The sequence below is a fragment of the Homo sapiens genome, chromosome 6 (genome assembly GCF_000001405.40).
Source record: "Homo sapiens chromosome 6, GRCh38.p14 Primary Assembly".
NCBI lineage: Eukaryota > Metazoa > Chordata > Mammalia > Primates > Hominidae > Homo > Homo sapiens.
Window position 1 is genome coordinate 43,010,793 of NC_000006.12, and position 19,498 is coordinate 43,030,290.

At 52.0% G+C, this 19,498-nt stretch overlaps 4 protein-coding genes across 17 annotated transcripts in view, besides 10 other annotated features; 3 read left to right on the forward strand and 1 right to left on the reverse strand.

Moving 5' to 3' along the window:
* Positions 1–1,550, forward strand: part of PPP2R5D (protein phosphatase 2 regulatory subunit B'delta) — a 27,773-nt gene extending 26,223 nt beyond the window's left edge. For all 4 annotated transcript variants that reach the window (NM_001270476.2, NM_006245.4, NM_180976.3 and 1 more), the window contains 2 exons: positions 89–205; positions 357–1,550. In NM_001270476.2, coding sequence (NP_001257405.1) covers positions 89–205; positions 357–494 — 255 coding nt within the window. In that variant the 3' untranslated portion in view covers positions 495–1,550. The remainder of the gene's footprint in view (positions 1–88; positions 206–356) is intronic.
* On the reverse strand, positions 351–6,094 carry MEA1 (male-enhanced antigen 1). 6 transcript variants are annotated; one of them, XM_024446445.2, is made up of 4 exons: positions 6,003–6,076; positions 2,323–2,597; positions 2,134–2,236; positions 351–1,829 (listed from the first exon to the last, which is right to left on the reverse strand). In XM_024446445.2, the coding sequence occupies exons 2-4, from the start codon at positions 2,584–2,586 to the stop codon at positions 1,678–1,680; spliced, it is 519 nt and encodes a 172-aa protein (XP_024302213.1). In that variant the 5' UTR covers positions 2,587–2,597; positions 6,003–6,076; the 3' UTR covers positions 351–1,677. The 6 variants fall into 6 exon arrangements, with proteins under 6 accessions (XP_024302213.1, XP_047274738.1, NP_055438.1 ...); XM_047418782.1 differs by lacking the exon at positions 6,003–6,076 and adding an exon at positions 3,124–3,154; NM_014623.4 differs by lacking the exon at positions 6,003–6,076 and adding an exon at positions 2,994–3,154.
* Positions 822–1,322: an enhancer, noted in NCBI's record as "H3K4me1 hESC enhancer chr6:42979352-42979852 (GRCh37/hg19 assembly coordinates)". NCBI's record gives its function as "activates a minimal SCP1, AML or CMV promoter by ChIP-STARR-seq in naive H9 embryonic stem cells {active_cell/tissue: H9 hESC(naive)}" and the evidence as "EXISTENCE:reporter gene assay evidence [ECO:0000049][PMID:30033119]".
* Positions 3,026–3,075: a silencer, noted in NCBI's record as "silent region_17213". NCBI's record gives its function as "represses an Ori minimal core promoter by ATAC-STARR-seq in GM12878 lymphoblastoid cells {active_cell/tissue: GM12878}" and the evidence as "EXISTENCE:reporter gene assay evidence [ECO:0000049][PMID:35858748]".
* Positions 3,286–3,405: an enhancer, noted in NCBI's record as "active region_24584". NCBI's record gives its function as "activates an Ori minimal core promoter by ATAC-STARR-seq in GM12878 lymphoblastoid cells {active_cell/tissue: GM12878}" and the evidence as "EXISTENCE:reporter gene assay evidence [ECO:0000049][PMID:35858748]".
* Positions 3,457–10,502, forward strand: KLHDC3 (kelch domain containing 3). 4 transcript variants are annotated; one of them, NM_057161.4, is made up of 11 exons: positions 3,457–3,556; positions 6,342–6,554; positions 6,727–6,903; positions 7,061–7,176; positions 7,353–7,424; positions 7,551–7,764; positions 7,841–7,927; positions 8,071–8,179; positions 8,300–8,373; positions 8,496–8,574; positions 9,875–10,502. In NM_057161.4, exons 2-11 carry the CDS (start codon positions 6,401–6,403, stop codon positions 9,939–9,941), a joined length of 1,149 nt encoding a protein of 382 aa, NP_476502.1. In that variant the 5' UTR covers positions 3,457–3,556; positions 6,342–6,400; the 3' UTR covers positions 9,942–10,502. The 4 variants fall into 4 exon arrangements, 3 of the variants coding, with proteins under 3 accessions (NP_476502.1, XP_047274119.1, XP_047274120.1); XM_047418163.1 differs by lacking the exon at positions 3,457–3,556 and adding an exon at positions 3,706–4,422; XM_047418164.1 differs by lacking the exon at positions 3,457–3,556 and adding an exon at positions 5,973–6,061.
* Positions 10,383–11,114: an enhancer, noted in NCBI's record as "H3K27ac-H3K4me1 hESC enhancer chr6:42988913-42989644 (GRCh37/hg19 assembly coordinates)". NCBI's record gives its function as "activates a minimal SCP1, AML or CMV promoter by ChIP-STARR-seq in primed H9 embryonic stem cells {active_cell/tissue: H9 hESC(primed)}" and the evidence as "EXISTENCE:reporter gene assay evidence [ECO:0000049][PMID:30033119]".
* Positions 10,513–10,622: an enhancer, noted in NCBI's record as "active region_24585". NCBI's record gives its function as "activates an Ori minimal core promoter by ATAC-STARR-seq in GM12878 lymphoblastoid cells {active_cell/tissue: GM12878}" and the evidence as "EXISTENCE:reporter gene assay evidence [ECO:0000049][PMID:35858748]".
* Positions 10,683–10,732: an enhancer, noted in NCBI's record as "active region_24586". NCBI's record gives its function as "activates an Ori minimal core promoter by ATAC-STARR-seq in GM12878 lymphoblastoid cells {active_cell/tissue: GM12878}" and the evidence as "EXISTENCE:reporter gene assay evidence [ECO:0000049][PMID:35858748]".
* Positions 10,823–10,892: a silencer, noted in NCBI's record as "silent region_17214". NCBI's record gives its function as "represses an Ori minimal core promoter by ATAC-STARR-seq in GM12878 lymphoblastoid cells {active_cell/tissue: GM12878}" and the evidence as "EXISTENCE:reporter gene assay evidence [ECO:0000049][PMID:35858748]".
* RRP36 (ribosomal RNA processing 36) lies at positions 10,831–18,807 on the forward strand. Of its 3 annotated transcripts, none has more exons than NR_138081.2 (7): positions 10,831–10,992; positions 14,193–14,340; positions 14,471–14,537; positions 15,245–15,349; positions 16,338–16,460; positions 16,568–16,685; positions 18,300–18,807. NR_138081.2 is itself a non-coding variant. In NM_033112.4 (7 exons), the coding sequence occupies exons 1-7, from the start codon at positions 10,863–10,865 to the stop codon at positions 18,434–18,436; spliced, it is 780 nt and encodes a 259-aa protein (NP_149103.1). In that variant the 5' UTR covers positions 10,831–10,862; the 3' UTR covers positions 18,437–18,807. The 3 variants fall into 3 exon arrangements, 2 of the variants coding, with proteins under 2 accessions (NP_149103.1, NP_001316633.1); NM_033112.4 differs by having other exon boundaries at positions 16,386–16,460; NM_001329704.2 differs by having other exon boundaries at positions 16,401–16,460.
* Positions 10,903–10,952: a silencer, noted in NCBI's record as "silent region_17215". NCBI's record gives its function as "represses an Ori minimal core promoter by ATAC-STARR-seq in GM12878 lymphoblastoid cells {active_cell/tissue: GM12878}" and the evidence as "EXISTENCE:reporter gene assay evidence [ECO:0000049][PMID:35858748]".
* Positions 10,963–11,032: a silencer, noted in NCBI's record as "silent region_17216". NCBI's record gives its function as "represses an Ori minimal core promoter by ATAC-STARR-seq in GM12878 lymphoblastoid cells {active_cell/tissue: GM12878}" and the evidence as "EXISTENCE:reporter gene assay evidence [ECO:0000049][PMID:35858748]".
* Positions 11,115–11,846: an enhancer, noted in NCBI's record as "H3K27ac-H3K4me1 hESC enhancer chr6:42989645-42990376 (GRCh37/hg19 assembly coordinates)". NCBI's record gives its function as "activates a minimal SCP1, AML or CMV promoter by ChIP-STARR-seq in primed H9 embryonic stem cells {active_cell/tissue: H9 hESC(primed)}" and the evidence as "EXISTENCE:reporter gene assay evidence [ECO:0000049][PMID:30033119]".
* Positions 18,808–19,498: the final 691 nt, after the last annotated feature.

A 19,498-nucleotide genomic window follows, 5' to 3' on the forward strand; every position in this document is an offset into this window, starting at 1 on the left:
GAGAGTTTGTTGGGGGAGGAATATGGGGCACACAGGCCCCCAAGCCTCTGAAGTGGCTCTTAACGCTTGTCCATGTCTCCTCACTCAGTATCCCATGTTCCGAGCCCCTCCACCACTGCCCCCTGTGTACTCGATGGAGACAGAGACCCCCACAGCTGAGGACATCCAGCTTCTGAAGAGGACTGTGGAGACTGAGGCTGTTCAGGTGGGAGGGCAATGTAGGGGGATGGAGCAGAAATAATAGCTCTGGAAGGGAGAGGAGACAGAAACAGCAGAGCCAAAGAATAAGGGGACGGAACAATAGAATTCACTGGGAATTGGTCACCATTCCTCACCTTGTCCCTATTCACACACAGATGCTAAAAGACATCAAGAAGGAGAAAGTGCTGCTGCGGAGGAAGTCGGAGCTGCCCCAGGACGTGTACACCATCAAGGCACTGGAGGCGCACAAGCGGGCGGAAGAGTTCCTAACTGCCAGCCAGGAGGCTCTCTGACCCCTCACGTTCCTACCACAGGGCCACAGCCCACACAGCCCTGGGACACTGCCCTGGCCCTCCATACTCTGCTCCCTACTGGCTGTCTTGGGGGAAGGCAGCGCCTCTCTAGCTACTCAAGGGAGGGGGATGTGGGCACTTGAAGCAGGGACACCCACAGAATGGTCCCTCTTCTCCCCAAAAGGTGTTCATGCCTCCCTGTGGCTAGTACAGGCTGAGCACTAAGATGCTTAGTGCTCAGACAACCTGGGGATGCCTGTCCCCTACCTGCTCCTCACCCACAGCTACCTGAGGCTGCTCTGAGAAGTACACACAGGAATACATACGCTCCTCTATTCTTCCCTTCATCCTCATTTGAACGCCAGGTATCTCCCCTCCTCTCTCTCCCCTGCAGAGGCATGTAGGGAACAGCAGGAGATTATTCTCACCAAAGTTATGTCAAGCCCCATTGGTCCCAGAGTAGCTGAAGGGAAGCCAACCCCCCTGCAGCACAAATAGGCCCCCCAGTCCCAGCCGTGTGCTGGCAGATAGGGTTGTATTATTTCTTCTTACCCCATGCCTGACCAAGGGAGGTCAAAAGGAGAAAAGTATAGGCTGTGGACAATAACTGATGAATATAGGGCCCAGATGGACCAAGTGGGGCCGGGGAGGGATGAATAAACACCCTACCCCGTGCCCTGTCTTTGGTGAGCAGCAGCCCTGGGGTCACAGACATGGAAGGGACCACCCTGGGGCTGACTGCTTTTCTGTGCTGTTGGTTCCCAAAACTAGAAAGAAGGAAGCAGGGAGCGGTGCCCCAAGCATGGCTCCTGCCAACACCTATTTATTTCCTTGTTTGTGCTATGCTGGGCAGGCCTTCTCTTGTCCCTTATAGGTACCTTGGAGGGGCCAGGGGCTGAGGAAGGCCGGACCCAGGTTCCAGGGGCGCAGGCAGTGCGGCTTTTGGCTGTGTACATAGGGTGCTTTATTCTCCACAGAGTGATACATGCTAAGGTGGGTTGGGCTTGGACCGATGTCCCCATATGTACAGAACTGAATAAAGTGGGTCTCTGAGAAGTCTGATGTGCCTTGATGTGGAAAGGGAGACGGGGAAGATGGAAATGGACATTACAACCAGGGATGTGTTCAGTCCTGTGCTGGTTCTGGCCTGGAATGTAGGAATATAAGGCAGCTCTCACTGTGGTCACTTCCAGGCAGGGGATGCCTGCCGGGCTTGGAGGGCTTTCTGTACCACATCTTCCCACTGGGCATCCGATATCTCCCGAGCCCAGGCAGGAACCCCTGGCGCAGGCAGGCTTACTCCAGCCATTGTCCTTTTCACCAGCTCTACATGTTCTGAAATCAGAGCCAGAGGCCATTCAGGCATAGAAATAATGGGACCAGCTCCCCTCCCCAATCCCCGAATCAACCCAGAGCCCTTGGGCTGCTAGGGTCACCAAATCCACCTTGTTACTTTAAGGCAAGCCTGCCCATCCCCAAAGCTAGCAAAAGAGCATTTCACTTGGACTCTGAAGTCTACAAAATCTTAGTTTACAAACTATCTTTTTAGGATAGGGTCTTCCTCTGAAACTTCCTTCTACTGACTCATGCCAGTTCATTTCCTTAGTAATTATTCCAGAATGAAAGAATGATCTTTTACCTGGGTCCATGGGAATAGAGCTGTGGTTGTTCAACGCTGTAGCTCCCTCCTCATCTTCATCTTCACTCTCTAATGGTGGGTCTGGCAAATGAAGCCCCAGGGCCTGCAGAGCCACAGAAGACCGTTTGGGTCTAGGCTTTCAGGGAGCCCAGCTTCACCTGTTCAGGAACCATCCCTCCTCCACCCTACCTGGATTCGATCCTGGATGTCAGCAACTACATCTCCATCCCCCACTGGTGCCAGTTCCACCTCCTCTTGTTCAGGATCTTGGTTCAGGGGCTGGTAGGAGTAGCCAGCTGGGCCCGACCCCGTTTCCTCCTGCTCTTCCTCAGGCTCCTCACTGCTCCAATCCCCAGTGCCTTCTGAAGGGCCCTGATGTCCCAGTTCCTCAGTCTGATTGGGGAAGATACGCTCAGGGCCCATGGTGTCTCCTCCTAGAACTACTGTTGCCATCCGGGCAGGGGCTGCAAGAACAGGGAGGCGGTAGGACAGGGATCGGATGAAACCAGGCCCATCTTCATCCTCTCATCATCTCCTTGTAGTCTCCTGCGTGCAAAAAACCAGCTCCTCCCCGAGGCTCCTGCATCCTCCACCCCTCCGCCCCAATTCCAGCCTCTCGTTCCTCCCCCTCCTAAGTCGGGGTTCTTATCTTGAACCAGGCCCCACCAACTTGCTCCGCCACTTCCTAGTTAAACGCCCAACCGGAGGCCCTGCCACCTCCTAAAAGACACCCCTTCCAGAACCCCGGCTCCCCGCGCCACGCCTCCCCCGCGACTTGGGAACTCTGGGTCATCAGACTCCCCTAAACAGGTCGGCGTACCCGCCCCCTTCTCCCCTCTCCTAGAGGACCCCCTCTGTACCGCCTGACAGATGCCTTTCAGGCCCCATGGGCTCCCCTCAAATGGCCCCAGCTGCAGCGTCCCCCACCCGCCCCCATCCGAATCCCGGCGCCGGTGTTCCCGCGCGCCTCACCCGCTCAGAGCCCGCGGCCTCCACTTCCGGCGGGGCAGGACGTGCAGAGGTGCCTAGTCCTCCAGCCCCGCCCCATATCCATGATTGACGCTGGCGAGGACGAGGAGTCCGCCCCTTGCCCCGCCTCCGTCATTCCCAGCCCAAAAAACAAAGGACTGCATTACCCAGTGGCCTCCTCGGTCTCGACACATATTTGCACATGCGCAGAATCTCTCCTACGCCCCTGCCCACTCCTCAGCCCTCTCGTCCCTCAGGAAACGTATGGACTACAAGTCCCGAAATGCCTCCGGCACTTAGCTACGACTGCACGTGCGCGCACAGCTGCCCGCCGGAAGAACCGAGCTTGGCTGTGTTTATCTCGTTGGGGACTAAGGCGTCGGTTGGCGCGCAACGGGTTCTAGGCTGCAGGCAGCTCGAGGACCCGCGGCCCCGCCCCGGCTCGGCCTGGCAGGTAGCCTGGGATGGGTAGAAGGGCAAGGGAGAATTAGGGGGCTTAGGACGTGCTGTCTGGAGCTGGAGTGGCGGGGGAGGGGCCTGAGAGTGATGAGGTGGGGGTGGGGAGGGAGCTAGGGGGATGATGGGAAAGGAGAGTGTTAATGGGGAAAGCAGGGCTAGGGGAGGATGGCGAGGAGATGGGTAGGAGAGACCTGGTGTCTGGAGGAAGCAATGAAGGAAATGGGAAGGAAGACTGGGCCATGAAAACAGGGAAGCTGAGCATAATGGAAGGGGAGGGGTGTCTGGCGTGGTGGGCTAGGGGAGGCCGGAATGTCTGGAAGAAGACAGGGATAGAGTCATATGCAGAGAGGGGTATCGTGGTCAGTGCATGCTAATTTTTCTTTCCTTAGTGGAGGTGGGAAAATGGAGGGCTGTTGGGTGGAGCTTGGAATGGTAGGAGAAGGAAAAATGAGAAAACTGCAAAGCTCTCACGAGATCAAGAAGGGCGAGAAATGGGGAATAAAAAATGCAAGAGACCAGGCGGGTAGATACATTAAGGGAATAGAAGAAGTTTGAAAATGCTTGGTGGTGATGGAGGACTGGGGAGACCCAGGGATAAGAGGAGCCCCTGAGCGCCTGGGGGCTTGTTCTCCTTGAATTTGAGTTGTTTATATGGCAGAGAAACTAAAATTTTTTTTCTCCACCTTTGGCTGGAATTGCTTATCTCCTCTCCTGTGCATATTTTACTTTACCTTGACATATCTGAAGGGAAGAATAGAGAATATAAGGGAGGATGGAAGACTTCCATTCTTAAGCCCATCGACCTCCTAACAGTCTCCACAAGCCCAGACCCAAGATATTTTGGAGAGCGGGAGTAATGAAGTGAGAGTAGCTTCCTGCTGGGGCTATTTCAGGATGGGTCCCATGGCTATTTAAAGCTTAGGGTGTGGAGTTGGGGGAGGTTGGGTGGGTGGGACTAGCAAGCCAGCTGAAAGCCATGTCTCTTTCCTGCAAGGGGCCTCCCTTATTTGAGCTGTTTTAGTGCCTGAGGTTTTGCCTGGCCCTTTCCTCTGCCAGGGCTTCTTAAACAGGGAGCAGATGATGATACACCCAAACTCAGGAGATGCTTGCCAGCAAAAGCATTGTCAGTTGCAAGGATTTGCCTGAAAAAACCTCAGATGTACCCAGGTGTACGTGCCACTAGGTTGACAGGTTGTGTTTAAGAGACCATGACCAGCTGGGCATGGTGGCTCACGCCTGTAATCCCAGCACTTCAGGAGACCGAGGACGGTGGATCACCTGAGGTCAGGAGTTTGAGACCAGCCTGGCCAACATAGTGAGACCCCATCTCTACTAAAAATACAAAAATTAGCTGGGCATGGTGGCAGGCGCCTGTAATCCCAGCTACTTGGGAGGCTGAGGCAGGAGAATCGCTTGAACCCGGGAGGGAGGCAGAGTTTGCAGTGAGCTGAGATTGCACCATTGCGCTCCAGCCTGGGGGCAAGAGCGAGACTTCATCTAAAAAAAAAAAAAAAAAAAAAGACCATGACTTCTCATGCTGGATCTTTCTCTTGTCCTGCCCAAGGGCATTTTTTGCCTCCCTTCCCCTTTTTTTTTGTTTTGAGACAGAGTCTCGCTCTGTCGCCAGACTGGAGTGCAGTGGTGTGATCTCGGCTCACTCCAACCTCCGCCACCCGAGTGCAAGCAATTCTCCTGCCTCAGCCTCCTGAGTAGCTGGGACTACAGGTGCGCGCCACCGTGCCCAGCTAATTTTTGTATTTTTAGTAGAGACGGGTTTCACCATGTTGGCCAGGATGGTCTCCGTCTCTTGATCTCGTGATCCACCTGCCTCGGCCTCTCAGGGTGCTGGGATTACAGGTGTGAGCCACTGTGCCCAGCCCCTTCCCCTTTGCATTGCACACTCCCACCTCTATCCGCCTTTCAGGAACCCAAGTTGTGGAAGAGCTTGTTCTCTCTTTTCTACTGGAAATGGCTTGTTCTCTACCACAGTAGCAGGGATGGGGAAGTGGCAGGAGGAGAAAACCCCTCCCTCTATCACCATCCCCCAAGCCTAAGCATACACATACCTTTCTGGCTTAAGTCCTGGCAGCATACCAGGCACAGCTGTCAAAGGAACTCCTTGTGCCTGTGGGGGGCCCTGGGTGACCCCAATGACAACAACTCAGCTTGACAGGAGCTCCCTGTGAGGGGCTAACCAACCGCGGTAACATGGAGGTCCCTGTCCTGGATCAGTCCCGCCCTATCTTGGGTAGGGGGATTGTTCCACTCTAAAAGCCTGAAAGCTTTTCTGCTTTGAGGCACTCATGCCAGCTTTCAATGGACTGTTTGAGGCTGGCTGGGCTATTAATAGCTGTGAGTATTTTGAGATCCCTTTCCCCACCTCAAAGAACACAGATTCTTAGAGAGGTGGCAGTAAGCAGAGCAGAGACAAGAGAATATACCGTTTGGGAAGGGGGCTTCAAGTTTGTGCCAAGCCAGGGACAGAGTGGAGCCTCCACGAGTAGGTTGTGACCATGATATGCAGATTCTGAGCTGGCAATCAGGTGGGGGTGGCCCCACCCTTCACTGTTGGAGAACACTGGGCCCAGGCTGCTCCCTGACCTCGGCAGCTCCCTTGGGGCAGGGCCAGCCACCTGAGCTGAGACTAGTGCCCCTGTGGAGGGGTAGTGTGGGAGGGCCCCCAGGGTGACACTTGGAGGCAAAGGCTGGTTCTGGGCAGAGTCACAGTGAGCTGGGCAGAAGCCTCGCCTGAGGATCCCGTGGCCCCAATTTGTGTGCAGATAGCAGAGGCAGCAGGCCGTGCCGGGGGGGCATGTTGCTGTAACCAGTGGCCCAGGGGATGTTACGGTGGACAGTGCACCTGGAGGGCGGGCCCCGCAGGGTGAACCATGCTGCAGTGGCTGTCGGGCATCGGGTATACTCCTTCGGGGGTTACTGCTCTGGTGAAGACTATGAGACACTGCGTCAGATAGATGTGCACATTTTCAATGCAGGTAAGCCAATGCTGGGGCTGTCCCTGGGTCCCCACATCAGGGTGGGAACGGGCTGCTGATGAGGTTTGGCTGTGGTCTCTGGGACCAAGGGGATTGGGGACAAACATCTGGTTTGGGAAAAGTGGACAGCCTGGAGGGAGGTTCCCAGGGCTGAGCAGAGCTGTGCCCACAGTGTCCTTGCGTTGGACAAAGCTGCCCCCGGTGAAGTCTGCCATCCGTGGGCAAGCTCCTGTGGTACCCTACATGCGCTATGGACACTCAACCGTCCTCATCGACGACACAGTCCTCCTTTGGGGCGGGCGGAATGACACCGAAGGGGCCTGCAATGTGCTCTATGCCTTTGACGTCAGTGAGTATGGATCTCAGAGAGGCTATGTCCTTCCAGATGTTGCCTCAGTTGCCCAAGAAAGGTTTGGGTTGGGGGTCTTGGGGAGTAGAGTACCCCAGAGCTGAGGAGGGACTGTCATAGAGGGTGCTTAGTTGAGCCATTTTCTCATCTCCTTCAGATACGCACAAGTGGTTCACACCCCGAGTGTCAGGGACAGTTCCTGGGGCCCGGGATGGACATTCAGCCTGTGTCCTAGGCAAGATCATGTACATTTTTGGGGGCTACGAGCAGCAGGTAGGTCTGGGAATAAAATAAGAGGTTTAGGGTGGGACTGAGAAAGAGGGGAAGGGCAATTTAGGATGGTGAAATGGGAGGCTTTGGCTTGTTTGCAGGTTTTGAGGGGAGGGATGGAGGGTCAGAGAGTGACCATTGGCTCCCTCTTTTCTTCCTCCTTTTCTCTTCCTACTCAGGCGGACTGTTTTTCCAATGACATTCACAAGCTAGATACCAGCACCATGACATGGACTCTTATCTGTACAAAGGTCTGCTCTTTCTTTTTTTTCCCAAATCCCCACCCTCTGTTGAAGCAATGATAGGAAGCTCAGTCAGAGGAGATCCTCTTCCAGTCTTTGTGCTGACCCCTCCACCATCTCTCTGCCTCTGCCCAGGGCAGCCCTGCACGCTGGAGGGACTTCCACTCAGCCACAATGCTGGGAAGTCACATGTATGTCTTTGGGGGCCGTGCCGACCGCTTTGGGCCATTCCATTCCAACAATGAGATTTACTGCAACCGCATTCGAGTCTTTGACACCAGAACTGAGGCTTGGCTGGACTGTCCCCCGACTCCAGTGCTGCCTGAGGGGCGCCGGAGCCACTCGGCCTGTGAGTGTTTGTTACTTCCCTGTGGAGTTCCCTTCCTGCCCTCTTCACACTCCTGACACTTCCTCTCTCCTTCCAGTTGGCTACAATGGGGAGCTGTACATCTTTGGTGGTTATAATGCAAGGCTGAACCGGCACTTCCATGACCTCTGGAAGTTTAATCCTGGTAAAGAGCACTGCATTTAGGGCAGGAACAAGGAGCAATTGAGGTGGGAGGAAAAGAAAATAATCCTGAGGCGGTGAGGGATGGGGGTGGGGAAGATACCTGGACTAGGCAGGTATTGAACTTCCATATAAATTTCTCTTCAGTGTCCTTTACCTGGAAAAAGATTGAACCGAAGGGGAAGGGGCCATGTCCCCGCCGGCGCCAGTGCTGCTGTATTGTTGGTGACAAGATTGTCCTCTTTGGGGGTACCAGGTTAGAAGGAGAGAGGGAAGGGGCTCAGGGAAGTCACTAATGGGAGAGTGGGAGGTATTTGAAAAGGGGGTTTCGTGGGTAGTTTTTGTCCTACTTTCATCTCTCTTTTGATCCCGACAGTCCATCTCCTGAGGAAGGCCTGGGAGATGAATTTGACCTTATAGATCATTCTGACTTACACATTTTGGACTTTAGTAAGTATAGTTATTCCTGAATTGCTCCTGCCATCAAGGTCCCTGTCTTTGGGTGGTGATATCCAGGACTGGATCCTTTCCTCACCTTTGACCATCTCCTTTCCACAACTTCTCCCTTAAAGGCCCTAGTCTGAAGACTCTGTGCAAACTGGCCGTGATTCAGTATAACCTAGACCAGTCCTGTTTGCCTCATGATATCAGGTACAGCGAGTGGTTGGAAGGGAGGGATTGAGTGAGGGTGAGTGAGCAGCACAGGTGTGACCTGATTAGCTTGGTTTCAGTATGGAGGAGACAGACATTTTTGTTCTGCTGGAGATGTAGTGTACTTGTGGGAAATGAGATGGAAGGAGGTGAATTGACAGCCATCATATAAAACTGTCAGCAGAATAAATTATATGAAAAAAAAATACAGCTCGGCAGCATCACTTTCTGAGACCTAAGCTTATACAGTTATTTTTGTGACCATGCTGAGAACAACTGATTAAATCTTAGAACCTAGCTGCAAAGTAAAGACAAGTTTAGGAGCCTCTGGATCACATTGGTTCCAGAAGATCTGGCTGCTTCCCTTTGAATTTCGTTCTTAGGTTCCAATTAACCACCAGATGTTACTTTATGTATAATTTTTCAGGTTCAAATTAACCACCAGATGTTACTTTGTATATAATTTTTCCTGTCTGGGTCATTCTGAGATACTTCGTCTCTTTGTATCAGTTCAGTTTAACTCTTGCTGGCTGGGCATGGTGGCTCATACCTGTAATCCCATCACTTCGGGAGGTTGAGGTGGGCAAATCAGTTGAGGTCAGGAGTTCGAGACCATCCTGGCCACATGGTGAAGCCCTGTCTATACTAAAAATACAAAAATTAGCTGGGCATAGTGGCAGCCACCAGTAGTCCCAGCTACTTGGGAGGTTGAGGCAAGAGAATTGCTTGAACCCGGGAGGCGGGGGTTTCAGTGAGTCAAGATTGTGCCACTGCACCACTGTACTCCAGCCTAGGTGACAGAACAAGACTCAAAAAAAAAATTAATATGGTTGGGTGGGTGGGGAAGGCCTCAGGAAGGATAGGAGTGCTGAGTCAGAGCCTTAAAAGGATGGGAGTTAAGAGCAAAAATGGGTATTCCTGGTGGGGTGAGGCATTCCTGGTGAGGGTAAGGTGGAGGGGCTGCCTGGTTGGCTCTAAGCAAAGCAGGAAAGGCAGGTTGGGATGTTGACTGACATGTATACACAGATCTCAGGTGCCTGGACACTGCAATATACATACATACATAAACATAAACCGGAAATCCATATGAGCTTGGAGGTAGAGGAGTGGGTGGTGTTGGATTTGGTGGTGGGTGGGTTCTGATTGTTCAACCTAGTAGGTCTCTTAAGTAAGAGGTGGCTGTGGGTGGTTGACCTTTAGGAAGTTGGAGAGACTGGTGTGTTTTTAGCTTGGTTCAAACATCCCTTAGCTTGGGCTGAGGGCCCCCTCTTCTTTCTGTCTCTTATTGTTGGCCTTCCAGGTGGGAGCTGAATGCCATGACCACCAACAGCAATATCAGTCGCCCCATCGTCTCCTCCCATGGGTAGGAGGAAGTTTCTGCCACCTCCCCTCCTGAGCCTGCTGTCATCTTCACTGCCCCTGCCCATCTGTCACCCACCTGCTCCTTTGACCCCTGGACTTGGTATACCTCCATGTGGAGTTGTTGGGCGAGAGGTGTTCTCTGTGCTGTGAATTCAGTGGGGAGCTGTAGCGGGGTGGGGGCTAGGTTCCTCCCCCCTTGGGCCGAGGGCCCCTTCCCCTTGGTGCTCTGTCCCCATCCACCTCCTTTCAGCTGCTCCTGGGCCTCAGCTCTGCCCAGGGCCAGCCAGGTTCTGCTGGGAAGGGAAGGGAATGGGGAGAAGGGAGAAGCAAGCAGTGTCTGAGCCTCAGGAGCTTCCCCCTCCCCCTTTGCCTATCCCCTCCCCTCTGCTTGAGCCTTGAGCCTTGACTGGGAGCTGAAAGGAGTTGCAGCTGTTGGCATGAGACCTCCTTCTCCCCGTCTTGGGGAGGTGGGGACCAGCAGATAAATCCCACCCTTCCTTGAGCTGTCGCTGTACTCTGAAGTTCAGCCAGCTCAGATTTTATAAAAATTAATTAAAATCTCCAAACGTGTTGTGTGTTTTTGTGGAATATGGTGGAGAAGGCTGGAGTTTGCAGTGGGGGCAGGGTGCCGAGGACAAGCACCCTGAGGTTCTGGCTTCTCAGCCAAGGGTATTAGGAAACCAAATGCCACCAAGGCCTGGTCCAAGCTTCTCGGGCGTGGAACCCAGCACCCTGCGACTCGGGCAGAAGGTTGCGACAATGTCTCCAGAGCGGGTTATCCTTTGGGCCCGGCTCCCTGGCCCTCGACCGCGCAGTTTTCTGCCCATTCGTCACCACGTTGAGACCGGGAACGCCGGAAGAGGCGGGGCAGGGGCTGCCGTGAGCGGAAGCGGCGCCATTCGTCTTCCGAGCGCTACTGCCAGCTGATGCCGGGAGCTAACTACCGCGCCGGGGCCGGGGCCGGGGCCGGGGCCCGACGTCCCCGCGGGGCCCGGGACCGCGAGGAGGACGGCGGGGGCCTGGAGCCCGCGGCCGTGGCCCGCGACCTATTGAGGGGTGAGGGCATGGGGCAGGGCGGGCTGGGGAGGGGAAGGAGATTCCCAGGCGGGGCCCTGAGCCTGCAGAGACGGTGCCGGTAAGACTGCCAAGTTCTCTAAGAGGCAGACGCTACACTAGGGGTGCCCCCAGTGCAGTGGAAAGTGGGGGGTGAGAGTAGATGCTTCCGGGATTAGGACATCCTGAGAAGTTTCTTCACGGCAGGATGAGGGTTTTCGGCGATGGGGAACGTATGTGCAATAGCATGGAGGCAGGAAAAGGCATGCATGGCTGCTGAAGGCTTAGTAGATCAGAATTCAGCAGATTCCGTAGACTTTGTTTTTTTAATTTTTTTTTTTTGAGACGGAGTCTCTCTCTGTCGCCAAGGCTGGAGTGCAGTGGCGCGATGTCGGCAAGCTCCGCCTCCCGGGTTCACGCCATTCTGCTGCCTCAGCCTCCAGAGCAGCTGGGACTACAGGCGCCCGCCACCACGCCCGGCTAATTTTTTGTATTTTTAGTAGAGACGGGGTCTCACCTTGTTAGCCAGGATGGTCTCGATCTCCTGACCTCGTGATCCGCCCGCCTCAGCCTCCCAAAGTGCTGGGATTCCAGGCGTGAGCCACTGCGCCCAGCCTGTTTTTTAAATTTTTTATATTTTTTATTTTTTTGAGACAAAGTCTCGCCCTGTAGCCCAGGCTGGAGTGTAGTTGCACCATGACGGCTCACTGCGGCCTCGAACTCCCGGGCCCAAGAGATCCTCCTACCTCAGCCTTTCGAGTAGCTGGGACTGCAGGCGCGTCACCACGCCTGCACGGATGGGTTTGTTTATTTATTTATTTATTTATTTAATGTAGAAACAAGGTCTCACCTTTTTTTTTTTTTTTTTTTTGACGGCGTCTCGCTCTGTTGCCCATGCTGGAGTGCAGTAGCGCGATCTCAGCTCACTGCAAGCTCCGCCTCCCGTGTTTACGCCATTCTCCTGCCTCAGCCTCCCGAGTAGTGGGACTACAGGCGCCCGCCACCACGCCCGGCTAATTTTTTGTATTTTTAGTAGAGATGGGGTTTCACCGTGTTAGCCAGGATGGTCTCTATCTCCTGACCTCGTGATCCGCCCGCCTCGGCCTCCCAAAGTGCTGGGATTACAGGCGTGAGCCACCTCGCCCAGCCAGGTCTCATCATGTTACCAGGTGCCAGGGCTGGTCTCCAGTTCCTGGGCTCAAGTGATCCACCCGCCTCAGCCTCCCAAGGATTACAGGATTACTGTGCCCAGCAAATGCTGCAGGCTTTTTGTTAAGGCACAGTTCTAGCTGCTGGAGATAGTTGTGAATAAAGTAGTCAAACACTCCTATCCTGGCCGGGTGTGGTGGATCACACCTGTAATCCCAGCACCAGGGGAGACTGAAGCAGGAGGATCGCTTGAGCCCAGGAGTTCAAGACCAGCCTGGTAAACATAATGAGACCCGCTTTTCTACTAAAAATAAAAAAATTTAGCCAGGGTGGTGGCCCACGTCTGTATTCCCAGCCACTGAGGAGGCTGAGGCATGAGGATAGTTTGAGCCCAGGAGGTCGAGGCTGCAGTGAGCAGTGATTAGGCCACTGCACTCCAGCCTGGGCAACAGAGCAAGACCTTTTTTCAAAATAAATAAAATTTAAGTCCAGGTGTGGCTCATGCCTGTAATCCCAGCACTTTGGGAGGCCGAGGTGGGCGGATCACAAGGTCAGGAGATCAAGACCATCTGGGCCAACATGGTGAAACTCGTCCTTATTAAAAATACAATAATCAGCTGGACTTGGTGGTGCGTGCCTTAGTCCCAGCTACTGAGGAGGCTGAGGCAGGAGAATCGCTTGAACCTGGGAGGCGGAGGTTGCAGTGAGCCGAGATCGCGCCACTGCACTCCAGCCTCGTGACAGAGTGAGTCCAGCTCAAAATAAATAAGTAAAATTTAAGGGAGACAAGTAAATTATTACATTAAAAGGCAATAAAACACTGAATTGTAGACTAGAGAACTGGATTTTGTGGAATATGAATTATAGCTCAATTTTTTTTAAGGTGATAGAGGATATGGAGAAAAAATAAAGCTTAGGAGAGGTTGCATTTTTTTTTTTTTTCCGAGATGGAGTCTCGCTCTGTCACCCAGGCTGGAGTGCAGTGACGTGATCTCGGCTCACTGCATCCTCTGCCTCCCAGGTTCAAGCTCTTCTCCCGCCTCAGCCTCCCGAGTAGCTGGGATTACAGGCACCTGCCATCATGCCCAGCTAATTTTTGTATTTTTGTAGAGACGGTTTCACCATGTTGACCGGGCTGGTCTTAAACTCCTGACCTCAGGTGATTGATCTGCCTCAGCCTCCCAAAGTGCTGGGATTACAGGCGTGAGCCACCACACCTGGACGAGGGGTCGCAATTTTAAATAACTTAGAGAAGACCTCTTTGGGAAGGTGATTTTGAATAAAGGCTTGAAGGAACTGAGGGAGGAGCTGTACCTATGTACAGTTTCTGGGGGAAGTGTACCAAGCAGAGGCAACATGTGCAGAGGAACTGAGGTGGGAATATGCTGCTAGGAGACACATTGAGAGGAGTGAGAAGGAGATGAGTAGAGTAGAGATATGACAGGGGCCAGGTCACTTGGGGGCTTGCAGGCCATTATTAAGGTACATGGCTTTTACTGTGAGCAAGATGGAAGCCATTGGGGACTTTTGCCTGTAGGAGTAACATGATCTGAAGTTTATGTGTGGGAGTGATAAGATCTGATTTTATTTTCGATGCCTCTCTCAGGCTGAATTGAGGCGCATAGCTTTGAGAGGAGTGAGGCTGGTGGTTGGGAGACTAGGAGGCTAGAGCACTGATTGAGGTGAGAGATGCTGAGCATGTGGACCAGGACACTGGCAATGGTAACTGAGCAAGGGAGGCAGATGCCCTTCTGGGGAAACCTGTGAATGAGTAAAAGAGAGAGTAAAAGAATGAGTAAAAGAGAAAAAGAAGGGACTATGGTTTGGTGCACCTTTGACCTTACATATACACCTTCCTTAGCAAGATGAGGCCCCAGGTTGCTGAAATAGTTGGAGAGTTTAACACTATCACAGCCTCTGCTGCCTAGGACTTCTAATAATGATTGGTCTGATGGGGTATTAGGATTAGCTAGCTAAGGAATGGGGATGGGAAGATGTCTTTTCTGCAGTGGGACATGCTGAGCTGAGTTGTATGTCCCTCCCCACTTCCACAGGCACATCTAACATGTCATTTGAGGAGCTGTTGGAATTGCAGAGCCAAGTGGGGACTAAGACGTACAAACAATTGGTAGCTGGAAATAGTCCTAAGAAACAAGCTTCTAGACCACCTATCCAAAATGCATGTGTTGCAGATAAGCACAGGTAAGCAAGGCTTGCCCTAGAAGTTGGAAGATAACTGGGACCTTGAATAGGTATGTTGTCTTGGGTGACAGGTGGGAAGCCTTTGACCAACACTGGAGTCCTCTTGACTTGGCTTTTAATTTCTCCATAGGCCTCTGGAAATGTCAGCCAAGATCCGAGTACCATTTTTACGTCAGGTTGTTCCCATTAGTAAAAAGGTAAGGAAGAAGGCCAGGCACTGTGGCTCACGCCTGTAATCCCAGCACTTTGGGAGCCCGAGGTGGGCGATCACCTGAGATCAGGAGTTCCAAGACCAGCATGGCCAACATGGTGAAACCCTGTCTCTACTAAAAATACAAAAATTAGCTGGGCATGGTGGTGTGTGCCTGTAGTCCCAGCTGCTTGGAAAACTGAGGCACAAGAATCGCTTGAACCTGGGAGGTGAAGGTTGCAGTGAGCCAGGATCATGCCACTGCCCTACAGCCTGTGGGACAGAGTAAGACTCTGTCTCAAAAAAAAAAAAAAAAAAAAAAATAGAGGCCGGGCGCAGTGGCTCATGTCTGTAATCCCAGCACTTTGGAAGGCCAAGGTGGGCGAATCACGAGGTCAGGAGATTGAGACCATCCTAGCTAACACAGTGAAACCCCGTCTCTACTAAAAATACAAAAAAAAATAGCCGGGCGTGGTGGCGGGTGCCTGTAGTCCTAGCTACTCAGGAGGCTGAGGCAGGAGAATGGTGTGAACTTGGGAGGCACAGCTTGCAGTGAGCCGAGATTGCACCACTGCACTCCAGCCTGGGCGACAGAGCGAGACTGTGTCTCAAAAAGCAAAAAAAAAGAAAGATGAGGAAGAGACAGGAAGCACTTTTTCTCAGTGAAAGGAGATTGAACAGTTGTGTTTTATATTCTCTCTCTTCTCTCCAAAGGTAGCCCGGGACCCTCGCTTTGATGATCTGTCAGGGGAATATAATCCTGAGGTGTTTGACAAAACATACCAATTCTTGAATGACATCCGAGCGAAAGAGAAAGAGGTATACAGCTTGAGACTGGTTTATGGGGAATTTTGTGGGGTGGAAAATGAGGGCACAGGTTAGAGAGTTGGGCAGGGGGAGTGGGAAGTATAGTGGTGGGCAGATTTAACTCTCTCCAATTCAGTTCATATTCAAATCCTGGCTCATCAGTTTACTAGCTGTGTGATTATTGGCATGTTACTTAATCTCTCTATGCTTTAGTTTTCTAATCATAAAAAAATAAAATAATAATTACTGTCTTGGAGGCCGGGTGTGGTGGCTCACGCCTGTAAGTAATCCCAGCACTTGGGGAGACTGAGGTGAGCACATCATTTGAGGCCAGCAGTTCCAAGACCAGCCTGGCCAACATGGTGAAACCCCATCTCTACTAAAAATAGAAAAATTAGCCAAGTGTGGTGTTGCATGCCTATAGTCCCAGCTACTCAAGAGGCTGAGGCATGGGAATTGCTGGTGCCCTGGAGACAAAGGTTGCAGTGAGACAAGATCGTGTCACTGCACTCCAACCTGGGCAGCAGGGCAAGACTGTCTCCAAACAAACAGTTACTGTCTTGGTGTTATCAAGTTAATATATGTGAACTTCTGGCCGGGTGCGGTGGCTCATGCCTGTTATCCCACCACTTTGGGAGGCCGAGGCAGGTGGATCACGAGGTCAGGAGATTGGGACCATCCTGGCCAACATGGTGAAATTAGTCTCTACTAAAATACAAAAGGAGGAGATCAAGATCATCCTGGCCAACATGGTGAAATTTAGTCTCTACTAAAATAAAAAAAAAAATTAGCCGGGCGTGGTGGCACGTGCCTGTAGTCCCAGCTACTTGGGAGGCTGAGGCAGGGGAATTGCTTGAACCCAGGAGGCGGAGGTTGCAGTGAGCCAAGATCACACCACTGCACTCAAGCCTGTGACAGAGCAAGACTGCATCTCAAAAAAAAATGTGTGTGTGTGTATGTGTGTGAACTTCTTAGGATAATGCTTTACATAAAATTTCAGCTAACATTTGCAGAATGCTAACCATGATACTCATTTTCCAATGTGGAGCTTGTGAAAAAACAGTTGAAGAAGCACCTTTCAGGAGAGGAGCATGAGAAACTGCAGCAACTGCTTCAGCGAATGGTGAGTGGGTAATAATTGTGGTGGGTAATGAAAGCAATTAAAGGTGGGAGATATTCACAGATCTGAACAGATCCCTCCCGTTCACCCATCTCATCTTTGCTCCTCAGGAGCAGCAAGAAATGGCACAGCAGGAACGAAAGCAACAGCAGGAGCTGCACCTGGCCCTGAAGCAAGAACGTCGGGCTCAGGCCCAGCAGGGCCATCGGCCATACTTCCTGAAAAAATGTGAGTTGGGCACAACTGTTGCTAACAGGGACAGGGGTGCAGGGGCCATGGTGGTAGAGTCTTGTGTTGGGGTGTCCCTGATCCCCTTTAAGGAAGGCATGAAGGCTGGATCCCATGGTAACTTGGAGGAAAGTAGAAATAGTAGGGAGTTGTTTGTAACCAGTCTTGTATCCCTAATTAGATCATGGCAGGCATTGTCACCTTTATTTCTTGGTCTACACTCCCCACTTCCCAACCCCCCCCCCCCAACACACACACAGTGAGTTTTATCTCTTGGTCTACACTACACACACACACACACACACACACACACACACACACAAACACAGAGTCAGTTTTATCTCTTGGTCTACACACACACACACACACAATCAGTTTTATCTCTTGGTCTATACTACACACACACACAGAGTTTTATCTCTTGGTCTACACACACACACACACAATCAGTTTTGTTTCTTGGTCTACACTGCACACACACACATGCACACACGCTGGGCCAGGCACATAGGTGTTCATAGTTGGTTGAATTGAGTAGTACTGAGATCATATAAAAAGTCATCAGTTGGGCTGGGCACGGTGGCTCACGCCTATAATCCCAGCACTATGGGAGGCCAGTGTGGGGGGGTCACGAGGTCAGGAGTTCGAGACCAGCCTGGGGGCCAACATGGTGAAACCCTGTCTCTACTAAAGATATAAAAAAATTAGCCGGGCCTGGTGGCGTGCACCTGTAATCCAGCTACTCAGGAGGCTGAGGCAGGAGGATCACTTGAGCCCGGGAGGTGGAGGTTGCAGAAAGCCTAGATTGCACTGTTGTACTCCAGCCTGGGCAACAGCGTGAGACTCCATCTCACAGGAAAAACAAACAAACAAAAAAAAGTCACCAGTTGGGCCGGGCGCAGTGCCTCACACCTGTAATCCCAGCACTTTGGGAGGCCAAGGAGGGCAGATCACGAGGTCAGGAGTTCAAGACCAGCCTGGCAAACATGGTGAAACCCCGTCTCTACTAAAAATACAAAAATTAGCTGGGTGTGGTGCTGTGCATCTGTAATCCCAGCTACTCAGAAGGCTGAGGCAGGAGAATCGCTTGAATCTGGGAGGCGGAGGTTGCAGTGAGCTGAAATCGTGCCACAGCACTTCAGCCTGGGTGACAGAGTGAGACTCCATCTCAAAAAAAAAAAGTCACCCGTTGGCCAGGCGCAGTGGCTCACGCCTGTAATCCCAGCACTTTGGGAGGCTGAGGAGAGCGGATCACCTGAGGTCAGGAGTTCGAGACCAGCCTGGCCAACATGGCGTAACCCTGTTTCTACTAAAAATACAAAAAAATTAGCCATATGTGGTGGTGCGCGCCTGTAATCCCAGCTACTCCGGAGGCTGAGGCAGGAGAATCACTTGAATCTAGAAGACGGAGGTTGCAGTGAGCCGAGATCGCGTCACTGCACTCCAGCCTGGGTAACAGAGCAGGACTCCGTCTCAGAAAAAAGATAGAGGGGCACCAGTGAGCTTTAAAGAACTCATGTATCCAGCATAATGGCTTGGAGTTACTGACCTGGTTTGGGAAAGAATAGGGGCTTCCTTCTTTGTTCACCAACTTTCATTCTCCCTGTCATTTAGCTGAGCAGCGCCAGTTGGCACTAGCTGAGAAGTTCAAGGAGCTGAAACGCAGCAAGAAATTGGAGAACTTCTTGAGTCGAAAGAGGCGACGAAATGCAGGCAAGGACAGGAGACATCTCCCTTTGAGCAAAGAGTAATAAGGAACTATCCTCTGCTCTGCCACTGCCCCAGGGAGACATGGATCTGTGAGGACAGATTTGGCCACGGCTGGTTTCCGTTCAAGGGCAAGGATCACAGCTGCCCTTGAATCTCATTGCCTCAGAGAAGACTAGAGGGCTCTTGGACTATCCCTAGGGCTACACAAGAATAGTTCAGCCTTCTGCCATGCCACACAGCCTCAGCTTGAATCTGGTTCATTGCGTCCTCGTGTTCTTCTCTCATCCTTGCCTTAAACCAGGGATTCTGATACCGAAGAAGAGGGGCCAATGAAAACCATGGAGTCTGTTCGTGACTCCCAGGGCTGGGACATTATGTAGGAGCCACTTCATAAACATTCTCTTTACTCATCTTTTTATTCTGTTTTTTGTGGCCTTCTTTTTGTGTTTCCCCCCCGAAACAGAGTCTCGCTCTGTCACCCAGGCTAGAGTACAGTGGTGCAATCTCGCCTCACTGCAACCTCCACCTCCCAGGTTCAAGTGATTCTTGTGCCTCAGCCTCCCGAGTAGCTGACATCCGCCACCAAGCCCAGCTAATTTCTTTCGTATTTTTAGTAGAGATAGAGTTTTGCCATGTTGGCTAGTTTGATCTTAAACTCTTGGCCTCAAGTGATCTGCCTGCCTCAGACTCCCAAAGTGCTGGGATTACAGGCGTTGAGCCACCGTTCCGGCCTTAAGGCCTCTGCTTTTATGTGGGATTTGTGGGTAGCCTAGAACTACTTTTTAGTGGGCCACATATTGGGATAGGCAATAAAGCCTAAGGCATCTACAACTGGGAAGTCAGATCAGAAACCCCTCCCACTTAAATCTGGGCCCCTCAAGGATGACAAGATCATTTAGTGGGTGAACCAATCCCACAACTCCCCTACTTGGCTTTGGTTTTGGATGCAAGGGATGTTAAGAGGTAGGGATATAAAGCTTCCATGGTAATATACAAGCACAGCTGGCCTTCAGTACTGTTTGGGACAAGAGTTTATAACCCATGTGGTCTGGAAAATCCTCAGGCTGATAACTTAGTTTAAAATAGTCTCAAGTAGGCTGGGC

Coding starts and splice junctions, on each gene's coding strand:
- KLHDC3 (NM_057161.4), top strand. CDS start 6,401: ATGTTACGGTGGACAGTGCACCTGGAGGGCGGGCCCCGCAGGGTGAAC. Junction 7,928..8,070: donor CCTCTGGAAGTTTAATCCTG/GTAAAGAGCACT, acceptor ATTTCTCTTCAG/TGTCCTTTACCTGGAAAAAG. Junction 8,180..8,299: donor GTCCTCTTTGGGGGTACCAG/GTTAGAAGGAGA, acceptor TGATCCCGACAG/TCCATCTCCTGAGGAAGGCC.
- RRP36 (NM_033112.4), top strand. CDS start 10,863: ATGCCGGGAGCTAACTACCGCGCCGGGGCCGGGGCCGGGGCCGGGGCC. Junction 14,538..15,244: donor TTGTTCCCATTAGTAAAAAG/GTAAGGAAGAAG, acceptor TTCTCTCCAAAG/GTAGCCCGGGACCCTCGCTT. Junction 15,350..16,385: donor TCCGAGCGAAAGAGAAAGAG/GTATACAGCTTG, acceptor TCCAATGTGGAG/CTTGTGAAAAAACAGTTGAA.
- MEA1 (NM_001363578.1), bottom strand. CDS start 3,306: ATGTGCAAATATGTGTCGAGACCGAGGAGGCCACTGG. Junction 2,237..2,322: donor ACATCCAGGATCGAATCCAG/GTAGGGTGGAGG, acceptor GTGGCTCTGCAG/GCCCTGGGGCTTCATTTGCC. Junction 1,830..2,133: donor CTCTATTCCCATGGACCCAG/GTAAAAGATCAT, acceptor CTCTGATTTCAG/AACATGTAGAGCTGGTGAAA.